This window comes from Homo sapiens, chromosome 2, assembly GCF_000001405.40.
Source record: "Homo sapiens chromosome 2, GRCh38.p14 Primary Assembly".
Taxonomy (NCBI): Eukaryota; Metazoa; Chordata; class Mammalia; order Primates; family Hominidae; genus Homo; species Homo sapiens.
Genome location: NC_000002.12, coordinates 227,453,386 through 227,464,889, shown reverse-complemented (window position 1 = coordinate 227,464,889; position 11,504 = coordinate 227,453,386). Strand labels below are relative to the sequence as shown.

General features: G+C 43.7%; 3 annotated features.

Annotated features, from left to right (window-relative positions):
* Nucleotides 1,200-1,259: an enhancer, noted in NCBI's record as "active region_17202". NCBI's record gives its function as "activates an Ori minimal core promoter by ATAC-STARR-seq in GM12878 lymphoblastoid cells {active_cell/tissue: GM12878}" and the evidence as "EXISTENCE:reporter gene assay evidence [ECO:0000049][PMID:35858748]".
* Nucleotides 2,160-2,219: an enhancer, noted in NCBI's record as "active region_17201". NCBI's record gives its function as "activates an Ori minimal core promoter by ATAC-STARR-seq in GM12878 lymphoblastoid cells {active_cell/tissue: GM12878}" and the evidence as "EXISTENCE:reporter gene assay evidence [ECO:0000049][PMID:35858748]".
* Nucleotides 4,482-4,571: an enhancer, noted in NCBI's record as "active region_17200". NCBI's record gives its function as "activates an Ori minimal core promoter by ATAC-STARR-seq in GM12878 lymphoblastoid cells {active_cell/tissue: GM12878}" and the evidence as "EXISTENCE:reporter gene assay evidence [ECO:0000049][PMID:35858748]".

Genomic DNA, 11,504 nt, shown 5'->3' with positions numbered 1-11,504 from the left:
GCCCACATAAGTAATGCAAAAGAAAAGTAACATTGGCCCCATTAACTCCCCCAGGTTCCACTGGGTTTCACAGAGTGAATAATCACAGGGCCTCAAGTATAAAGCACTGTGGAATAATAGTCGACTCAATTTTTTTCCCCCGTTTCTTCTTTTGAAGGTACCTTCCTTTAGCTGTGGTTTGATTATTTTTAACATTGCTTCCTGACTTGCTTTTTAATTTGTAAGAAGTAGCATGATAGAAAAGAAAGAAGGGGCAAAACCTACAGAGAACAGCACTTGGTGTATACTTCCTGGAAATACCAGTGTGGTTTCTGGGCATACTCTACAGAGAGCACCAGGGATGTAGAAGCTAGACACCTGAATGGCACACATCCCTTACCACCAGTGGCTGTGGCACTGACAGGTGGATACCTGGCTTCTCTTTCCTTAGAGATGCCAGGAAAAACAGAGAAACTGCAGACCTGCCCTCCAGCTGTCCGTGTTGTTGGAGACTTTTTCTTTTACCTCGGTTCATTTTCCACTGTCATTTGTGAGCTGAATTTTGTGCACTCAGAGAGCAGGGACCAGGTCATATCCTTCTGTGTCTCTACTTTGCTGGGCTATAAAAGATCGCTCATAAATTGCATCAGTTGATTGACTGATCCAAACTCAGGCCATTCTAAAAGCCCAAAACCATTGCAACCTGACTTTAGTTATCCATTTATCAGAAAGACATTTTTTTTTTATTTTAGAGGGAAACCAGAAGTAGCTTTCAGCCTGCCTTTCTTCATTCATTCAGTGAATATTTACTGAGTATCTACTCTTTACCAGGCACTGTGCCAGACACTGGGGATTCAGCAATGAACAAGACAACATCTACTTTCCTGGGGTTTATGTTCCGTTGGGAGGGAGAACAGACAAACAAATTAATATAATGGACCAGGTGATGCTAAGTGCTCTAAAGGAAAATGAAGCAGGGTAAGGTAATAGCATGTGAAAGGAGAGGATGCTACTGGGTGGTTAGGGGAGGCCCAGAGTAGGCGAAGCAGGGGAAATTCTCGGGGTTGCACATATCAGAAGTCACAGGTAAGTGGACTTCTGTGCATGGAGGCTCTGCAACCAAGCAGCCTCCCTCCCTTGGTCAGTTCGTGCCAGAATCAGGATTCCTGGGCTGCCCTAGTCGCCTGTAGAGGACTTGAATCATAATCTTCAGAAGCCAAGCGGGAGAGAAAAGGTCCCTGCCTCTGCAGTGCGAAGAGAGTCCAGGGTAAGAAATGCTCCATTCACGTTGTCAATGGAACTTTGTTCTTGCCCATTACTGAAAAGAGAAAGGGGATCTTCCCTTCTGGTTCAGGGGAAAGAAAGAGGCCCCTGTGGGGAGAGAAACCTGCTTTAGTTATCAGAAAAGAAACATTAGTGGGGCTTGCTGGGCCTACAGAAAAGGAAAATGGACGCTACCCATCAGCCCTCCATTTTGAAGGGGTCAGATGGGGGTATTTTAAAAGTGGGTCTCTAAAAAAACCTCCTCTCTTTCTTTTTGTATTTCTCAACAAATGCTGGCAGATAGGCAATGGCTCATTAGACAGCATGTGCTGAACTGAGTGCAAAGTAATTCCCTTGAGCCCAGTTGACTGATGTTGCCATCATACCCCATCCCCTGAGAAGAGAATCGATTGCATAGAGCTCCACCGTTGATCCCCCAATACCAGTGACTAATGTTTCCCGGTTGACTAAGCACCCAGTTAATACTCACAGCAGCCTTTGGACATAGATTTTATTGTTATATCCATTTTACAGATGAAGAAACTAAGGCTCCCGAGTTGAGGGCTTGCCAAGGTCACATAGCTGGGAAGTGATGGAGCTGGGATTGGAAGGCCAGTGGTTGGACTTTAGAGGCCATAATTTAACCGGTACAGTCAGCACTGTACTCTGTTGAATCCTTTTCTTGTGAATCCAAACCAAGGCCACATGGAAACAGGAAAACCTAGGAGGCACTTCCTGGTCTCGAGCTGGGCTCTAGGAATACAAACATCCCAGGACATAACTGGGCTCTGTTAGCCTGAGGTTTCTGCTTTATAAGGATGCTATGCCAGCCCCGGGGCTCCAGGATGTGCACTTGAAGGACCTGTTTTCACTCAAGAAGTTATTCAAATGAGGGAAATTACCTGAAAATTTACACATACCAAGTTCCCAGAGTGAAAACAGCCTGAATATTCATTTAGGTAACTTGCTACACAGAGGTGTCCCTGTTGAATGTGCGTAGAACTTATAGCAAAGGACTTACGGCGAAAATTCCAAGTCCGCTTATGAGTGGGGAAGTCCCTGGAGCAACTTTACAGGAACAAGGTCATGGCCATTTTTACCATAAGGATACCCTTATCAGTTTATCATTAGTCACCACCCCACCTCTGGGGCATTAATGATTCAGAAGGTTACAGTAAGAACAGAGTAAGAAAATGTACTCAGCACAGCATCTGGCATTAATGGAAGCACTGCTATCATTATTCTCATTGTTTTAAATATGGTATACCAATTCCTTTTCCATTCAGCGTGTGCTGTTTGTAAGTTACCAAGTCAACTGGAACTGCAGTTTAGCTGCAATTTGCCAGAAGCTGCCGTTAAGTGAACCACCTTGTGTGCGGCTACCCTTTGCTCAGAGCATTGCTGCACTTTGACTGGTTGAAATCCATTGTGCTCTAAGTGATCTGAACAGCAATCAGTGATATACATGAACAACTATTTTTCACTCAGTTCATGGAAGTTTTTATTTCTTCTAAGTAAATATCAGACAATGTTCAGTTTGGAAGATTCTGCAGATAAAATTCTCCAAACACATCTAACCACAGAAACAACATTCATTTATAGATGCTTTATTTGGGGAGAAAAAGGAGAGTGTGTGTGTTTAGGAAGTGATGTCAAATTTTCTTGACTCAGACCTGTATCGCCTATGTGTGCCCATACATGAAGGACAGTACAGCATGGTGGTATCAGCAAAGTTTCTGAATCAGACTGTCCAAGCCTGGATCTCCCCTGGGAGCTTGAGCAAGCAACTTAACTTTTCTGTGCTTCAGTTTCTTCACCTATAAAATAGAAATGATCATACCACCTACTTCATAAGGTTCCAATGAGGATTAAGTGATTTAATATACGAAAAGCACTTAAAACAATGTCTGGCAGATAGTAAGCATTCTACAAGTGTTAGCAATCATTGTATTTCCCTCTTTTCCCATCAACAACCTCCTCTACAACCTAGACAGAATAAGCAAGTGTATACATGTATACATTAGCTTCCCATAGTATAATGTATATTATATTTTATATATATATTTTCTTGTTTCATTTTGTTGTTTAATATCCTAAGTAGGGCCAGGCACAGTGGCTCATGCCTGTAATCCCAGCTCTTTGGGAGGCTGAGGTGGGTGGATCACCCAAGACTGGGGGTTCGAGACCAGCCTGACCAACATGGAGAAACCCATCTCTACTAAAAATACAAAATTAGCCAGGCATGGTGGCGCACACTTGTAATCCCAGCTACTCGGGAGGCTGAGGCAGGAGAATTGCTTGAACCCGGGAGGCAGAGTTTGCGGTGAGCCGAGACTGCACCATTGCACTCCAGCCTGGGCAACAGAGTGAAACTCTGTCTCAAAAAAAAAAAAAAAAAAAAAAAAATCCTAAGTAATACATGAATATAATCTCATTTTTAAAAGAAAGCAAAACAAAACAAAACAATGCTGGTATAGTGAGTTGAAGCATCTCCTAAAACTTCACATTCAACCAGAACCTCAGGATGTGACCTTATTTAGAAATAGGACCTTTGAAGATGTGATTCATTGGAGAACTCAAGATGAAATCATTCTGATTTAGAGTGGGCCCTAAATCCAATGACTAGTGTCTCTATGAGAAGAAGAGAGGACACATACAGACATACGGGGAGGAAGGCCATGTGATGATGGAGGCAGAGGTGGGAGTCATGCTGCCACGAGCCGAGGAACACCTAGGACCACCAGAAACTGGAAGAGGCAAGGAAGGATTCTTCCCTAGAGCCTTTGGACCTGCTGATTCCTTGATTCCTCACCTGTAGCATAAAGAATTGTGAGCATAAATCCCTGTTATTTTCAACCACCTAGCTTGTGACAGTTTGTTACAGAAGCCCTGGGAAGCTAACACAGCCAGTAAAGCCAAAAGTTCCCCAGCCCACAGCTCACACTCTCCCATTCACATCGCCTCGTCCAGCAGTCGCAGCACATCGTTACCTTTCCAGACCTTTTTTCTATGCTTTTACATATCCAATACTATGGATTGGATAAGTAATATTTGGAATGCTATTACTATCCAAGTACATAGAATGCTTACTATCTGCCAGACACTGTTCTAAGTGCTGTTCATACATTAAATCACTTTATCCTCATAGGAACTTTATGAAGTAGGTGATAGGATTATTTCTATTTTACAGGTAAAGAAACTGAGGCACAGAAAAATTAAGTTGCTTGCTCAAGCTCCCAGGGGAGATCCAGGATTGGACAGTCTGATTCAGAAACTGTGCTCATAATCACCGTACTATACTTTATCTAGTTGACAATAACCACATTTGATGAATGTGGCAAAACCGCAGAACAGCAACTCAACATTCTGCAGCCTTAGTCGCAGCCAGGCACCGTGGACCACAGCCAGGACGAGGGTGCTGCTGCCGCCGCCCCCAGGAGACCTGGGGAGCGTGGCCTTGTCTCCCATAAGCATTGCTTCTGATTTACAGCCCTTAAAAGGCAGGAAACCCTCTAGAATAATGACTCATTTTTATTACACATGGGCTTTCAGGGAAATTTTAACAACCCCTATTTCTCCTTTTTTATACAGGTTACATTTTTGGTCTATTTTAAACATCTTCAAATCTGATAAATATGGGTCCATTCTCTATAAGATCTAGAAGTTGCCATTTGAAGAGTATTTTGCTGCATCTTCCAGCTGTGAGCATCATACATAGGGTATATGATTGCATGAAAAGATACCTTCTTTTTTTTTTTTTTTTTTTTTTAGATGGAGTCTCACTCTATAACCCAGGCTGGAGTGCAGTGGTGAGATCTCAGCTCATTGTGGTCTCTGCCTCCTGGGTTCAAGCTATCCTCCCACCTCAGCCTCCCGAATAACTGGGATTACAGGCATGCACCACCCCACCCAGCTAATTTTTGTATTTTTAGTAGAGACGGGGTTTCACCCTGTTGGCCAGGCTGGTCTCAAACTCCTGACCTCAAGTGATCCACCCACCTTAGCCTCCCAGAGTGCTGAGATTACAGGTGTGAGCCACGGCCCCAGTGAAAATGGATCTTCACATGCAAAGTTTCAAATGGAAAGAATATTAGAAATCACTTAGATTGGGAGGCCGAGGCGGGCGGATCACGAGGTTAGGAGATTGAGACCATCCTGCCTAACACGGTGAAACCCCGTCTCTACTAAAAATACAAAAAATTAGACAGGTGCGATGGCCGGCGCCTGTAGTCCCAGCTACTCACGAGGCTGAGGCAGGAGAATGGCATGAACCCGGGAGGCAGAGCTTGCAGTGAGCCAAGATCGCGCCACTGCACTCCAGCCTGGGCGACAGAGCGAGACTCCGTCTCAAAAAAAGAAAAAAACAGAAAAGAAAAGAAAAAGAAATCACTTAGACCAATGACTCAACAGGTTTAGAGTTAGAGCCCCTTTTGAGAATCAGATAAAAGATACCACTCCCCTTTCCTTAACTATGCACCAGACACGTAAAATATCATCTCAGGCTGATCCCGTGCCCAAGGTTAAAATCCCCCTCATTCTACTAAGGAAAACGAGGGATCTGATGGCAGAACCAAAACAGGAACCCAGATTCTCCACAATGCATCGTCTCCCTGAGGTTCCCTCTGTCTGAATCTGAAGTCTCCAGTTTGTCTACAGGGGCAACAAAGGTCAGGGGGTGGGAACAGAGGGAGGGGAACCCTGGATTTAAGGAGGATGGGCCAGAGGAAGGAGAGTGTCTAACAGGTAGACTAAGTTTGTCCGACCCACCGCCTGTGGGCCGCACGGGGCACAGGACAGCTTTGAATGCGGCCCAACACAAATTCATAAACTTTCTTTAAACACTATGAGGTTTTCTGTGATTTTTTTTTAACAGCTCATCAGCTATCGTTAGTATTAGTGTATTTTATGTGTGGCCCAAGACAATTCTTCTTCTTCCAGTGTGGCCCAGGGAAGCCAAAAGATTGGACACCCCCGATCTAGACCATAGACACAGATGGATTCCTGGACATGGTACTCCTCCATTCTCCACAAAGGCCAGGACAACAGAAACCAGATTTACATTAAAGCAGTCCCACCTCGGATAAAAGAAGAAGAATTCATTTTAATCTTTGCATTTCTGAAAGGATTATATATCATGTCCTCTTCATGCTTTTTTTTTTTTTTTTTTTTTTTTGAGACAGTCTCACTCTGTTGCCCAGGCTGGCATGCAGTGATGCGATCTCGGCTCACTGCAACCTCCGCCTCCCGGGTTCAAGCGATTCTTCTGCCTCAGCCTCCCAAGTAGCTGGGAATACAGGCATGTACCACCACACCTGGCTAATGTTTGTATTTTTAATAGAGACAGGGTTTCGCCATGTTGGCCAGGCTGGTCTCGAACTCCTGACTTCAGGTGATCTGTCCGGCTTGGCCTCCCAAAGTGTTGGGATTACAGGCCATAAGCCACCGTGCCTGGCCAAAGCTTCTTAAAAATAGAATTAGCATCTCATCTTTCTAAGATGGTCTGAATGTAGACAGATAAGAAGGCAAGAGAACCGACCCATCAAGAATGTTAACTATACACCACTCCTGCCTCTTTCACGTGGAGCCGGCATCACTCATGTTCATTACACCATTTCTAGCTAATACCACGTGTAGCCTTGGAATCCCTTGCAACTAACTCTCTGCTCCAGAAGATGCTGCTAATGATCCCAGTTGGCTGTGAGATCTGTACCCTGTTTGCCACTCTGTGGCTAGATGACCTTCCCACATTGCTTCCAGTCTCTTGTGATAGTTCCCTGTAGTCTCATTTGAACTTTCTGATGGCTTTACTTGATTCAGCAGAGGCCCAGAGACCTCTCTTTCTAGGGCAGTAATCTCTCCTAGGATTTCTTCTAATAGCTGTACTCCTGCATTCTCAGTCATGTGAAATAATTAAGAAAGCCCCAAGTATTCTTGCTTCTAACTTATTTTTTCACAGACTATGAAGGCAGGTCCTCAGAAGCATAAAATTCAATCTCATTATTGCCCTTCGATCTTGGGTCTCCATTTTGTGATGCCCTTTTATGTATCGGTGATTGTTCTCTCAGTGGACTATATCCCTAATATTAGACTTTGGAAAAGGGGGGAAAAAAAGGCCAGGCACGGTGGCTCACGCCAGTAGTCTTAGCAGTTTGGGAGGCCAAGGGCGGGCAGATCACTTGAGGTCAGGAGTTCGAGACCAGCCTGGCCAACATAGTGAAAACCCATCTTACTAAAAAAAAAAAAAAAAAAAATTAGCCAGGTGTGGTGGCTCACTCCTGTAATCCCAGCTACTCAGGAGGCTGAGGCGGGAGAATCGCTTGAACCTGGGAGGCAGAGGTTGCAGTGAGCGGAGATCGCACCACTGCTCTCCAGCCTACGTGACGGAGCAAGACGCCATCTCAAAAAAAAAAAAAGAAAAGTAAATAGACTGATACAAGTCTAAGCTGCATCATGACAGTTCAAAGGCAAAAACAGAGTGAGGTAAGGTTTGCTATTTTGCATCTTGTTACTCTAAATATCAAAGAACATGCACTCTGTCTTTAGCATCAGTGAGACACAGTGAGCATAGAGCACCTGCTGGCCCCCCTTCCCTGATTCCAGTCCTGGTTTGCATCACCAAGCAAGCATTCTGGAACTACTTCTGGAACTTCCCACCCTTGTGTTTGCCTCTGTGCCCCTTGACTTGATGACTGTCTTCTGTGACGTAATTGCACCGCCCCCACAGGGCACTACCAAGTTAGCTTAAGCGGGTCTGATGCTCCTCCAACGTAGAAAAGCCAGGGGGCTAGGAATGTACCTTCCTCCAGGAGGGTGCTGAAGTTTCTATGCAAGGGATGTAGTCCAAGAAGGTGACTGAACAGGAAGTTTTTTTGTTTGTTTGTTTCTAGTTCTAAGTCTGGTTTACAACAATGTAAACCAAAAAGGGTTTTTAGTATTTTCTAATGTGACTGTAGAATATAGTAATTTGGTCTTCCTGCTTCCACACTGAGCCCCCTCCACTGTCCATTCTCAACCCAGTACTAGCGGGGTCCTTTGTTTGTTTGTTTGTTTGTTTATGTAGAGACAAGGGTATTACTGTATTGCCTAGGCTGGTCTCAACCCCTGGGCTCAAGCAATCCCCCTACCTTGGCCTCCCCAAAGTGCTGGGATTACAGGCATAAGCCACCATGCCCTAAAAGGCCCTAAAGGGGAATCCTTTTAAACACTGAGTCAGATCATGTTGCTACTCAAATTCCTGCAGTGTCCACCCTGTCCCCCAGCACCCCTGACCTCCTGTCCCACAAAGCTCTTTCTTCTCTCCCATTCATTCCAGCCACTCAGACCTTCTTGCCACATTGGGAACAGGCCAAGCTCCTGCCTGGGGCCTTTACTCTAGCTGTTGCCTCTGCTTTAAGCCAGGTATCGGCTTGGTTAACTCCTTCACTTCTCTCCATCCCTATTTCTCAGCCAGGCCTGTCCATGATTACCCTATTTAATATGGCAGTCTGCCCCTTCCTCCCTGCTGCGTATACCAGTTCTCCACTCCCCTGGTGCCATTTTTTATTTTTTCCAGATCACTTGTGAACTTTCAATATACTATATAGTTCTTGTATTTGTTATGTTTATTATTTATTATCTAACTATCCCTTATGAGACTTTAAGCCCCAGGAGGGCAGGAATCTCTTCCTGCTTTTTCATTAATGTATTCCAAGTTCCTTGAATAGTGCTAGGCACATAATAGGTGCTCAGTTAGTATTTGATGAATAAATGGTTGAATGAATAAATAAATGAATAAAGCCATTGTTCTGGTTAACTGCTGATTAGTAGCAAGAACATCACCTCTAGGGGGTTTCTGAAGTAAGGAAATGGGAGGGAAACAGACTAGAAAGTGTGAACACATAATAGGTATCATTTAACTCTCTCCTTAGTATATATTAATTGATGTAATTTACCTATTTTAATGGGAGCAAAATTGACAAAACCACTAGCAGAGTTTACACAGTAATTTATTTTAAGAGTAGTAATTTTTTAAATAAAAAAAATTAACCAAAGACGATTATAGCAGTTCCTTGGGTCTTCCTGGCAAAAAAAAACAGTTGCCTAGATTATTCTAATAGAACATTAGGTTTTGCTTCATTGAATGATGAGTATAGGAAGCAAAAATGCACGTACAAGGAAGTTACTTAAAAGTCGGAAACATTTTGCAAAAGAAAGTTGCTTTTGTGGTTGAGTGATAAAGTAATTTATGCTAACTACCTTTTAGGGACTCATTTTGCATGCAGAGGTGACCTCATGTGTTTAGGAGCCAAAAAGCCTTAGTGAGACATGCTCTCTGGACTGTTAATGAAATGACAGGCCCAGGGGTCACAGTAAGACAGTGTAATGTATTATCATTGAATAACCATCATCCCATCCAATTAACTTTTGCAGAGGAAGTAACCTTGAATCTAAATGCTAACAATATTTGGCCATATAAAGACATCATGATTCCATCGAAGAGAAAGTCTGACACTTCTGGCCTGATGAAATTGTCTATAAAACTCTGAATTTGAGAGAGAGAGGAGGAAATTTCATGCAGAATAACATGCAAACTTGGCATCCATTGAGTCCTCATGATTCTTAAGGAAAGTGTTCATTTTTGTTGCAGTTTGTGTTTTAAAGACTGAAGGATGTTTATTATTTTCTTCAAGGTGCTTTGCAGACTTGCTTTTCACAGTCTAGATGCCAGCTTGATTAATTAAACATGCACACAATGACATTCTACTGTGCAAGCTTGAAAAATTGCTAGTCTAACCTTTTTAAGAAATGTACATAATTGCCAGGACCTGGTGAGAGGTGACACCAGATGAAAGCTTTTCTGGCAAAAGTCAAAGGTCAGCAGCATTTTGTGGACAGAGGAGGGGATTACCTTGCCCTCTTGGACCAGGTAGCCTCCTAAGAAAACACTGGCCTTATGTTTACATCTGGCCTGGACTTGCAAAATCTGGAACTCTCCTTCTTGCTGCCTTCATAATCAACAGGTATGAACTGGGCTCAGTGGTGAGGCCACCTCTCTGCAACTCAGTGACAACACTCTCCCTCTGGCCTTTTGTCTCCCCAGTTTTTCCATCACACAGGGCTCCTTTCCCACTGTGCCTCTGACCTATTCACACTACTTTCTCTCAGGAGGGGAAGACCCTAGGGTTTTCATTCATCATCTCTGCACCTATAATGCTTTTGGTTGCCTGTCTCCTCCATCCCTCTCACCCTCCAGCTCACTGTCCCATTCTGTTTATTTATTTTTATTTTTTTGGACACAGAGTCTTGCACTGTCCCCCAAGCTGGAATGCAGTGGAGTAATCATAGCTCACCGTAGCCTTGATCTCCTGGGCACAAGCCATCCTCACACCTCAGCCTCCCTAGTAGCTAGGACTACAGGCCCACACCCTCACACCCAGCTATTTTTTTTTAAGAGATGGAGTCTTTCTATGTTGCCCAGGCTGGTCTTGAATTCCTAGGCTCAAGCAATTCTCCTGCCTCCACCTCCCAAAGTGCTGGGATTATAGGCATGAGCCACTGCATTGGTCCCCACTGCCCCTTCTAAGTGGTGGTTATGAGCTGAGGCTCAGGAACCAGACTGTTTAGGTCTGGTCCTTGCTCTCCCCCAAATCATCTGTGAGACTATGGGTTAGTCTCTTCAACTCTGGTACCTCAGTCTTCTCATTTGCAAAATGGGGATGAAAATACCAACTGCGTTTTGGTATTAAATGAGTTAATACATGTAAAGTGCTTTGAACAGTGTGTGGCAAATATTGGCCATTGCTGCTATTATCTTCAAATGCAGAAATCTGTTTGTACATTGAGCCTCTGCTCAGATTCTAAATCTTCTATAAAGCCTTTCCAGACTTTTCGAACTAGACATAATGGTTCTTGCTTATTAATTTGAAGCCTTATAATACTAGGTGGGCACTTTTCTTATTCTTTGAAAAGGTACCATTTACTGAGCAACTAGACGTGACAGGTACTATGCCAATGCTTCATGTGTATTACCTCCTTTGTTCTCGAAAAATAGTTATTACTACTTCCATTTTACAGATGAGGAAACCAATACTCACAGAAGAAAAGCCACTTTTTTAGATTCACAAAGCAAACATAATTAAACTTATTTTTAAACGTAACTTAAAAGGCCATGTGCAGTGGCTCACACCTGTAATTCCAGCACTTTGGGAAGCCAAGGCGGGCAGATCACTTGAGGTCAGGAGTTCAAGACCAACCTGGCCAACATGGTGAAACCCCGTCTCTAC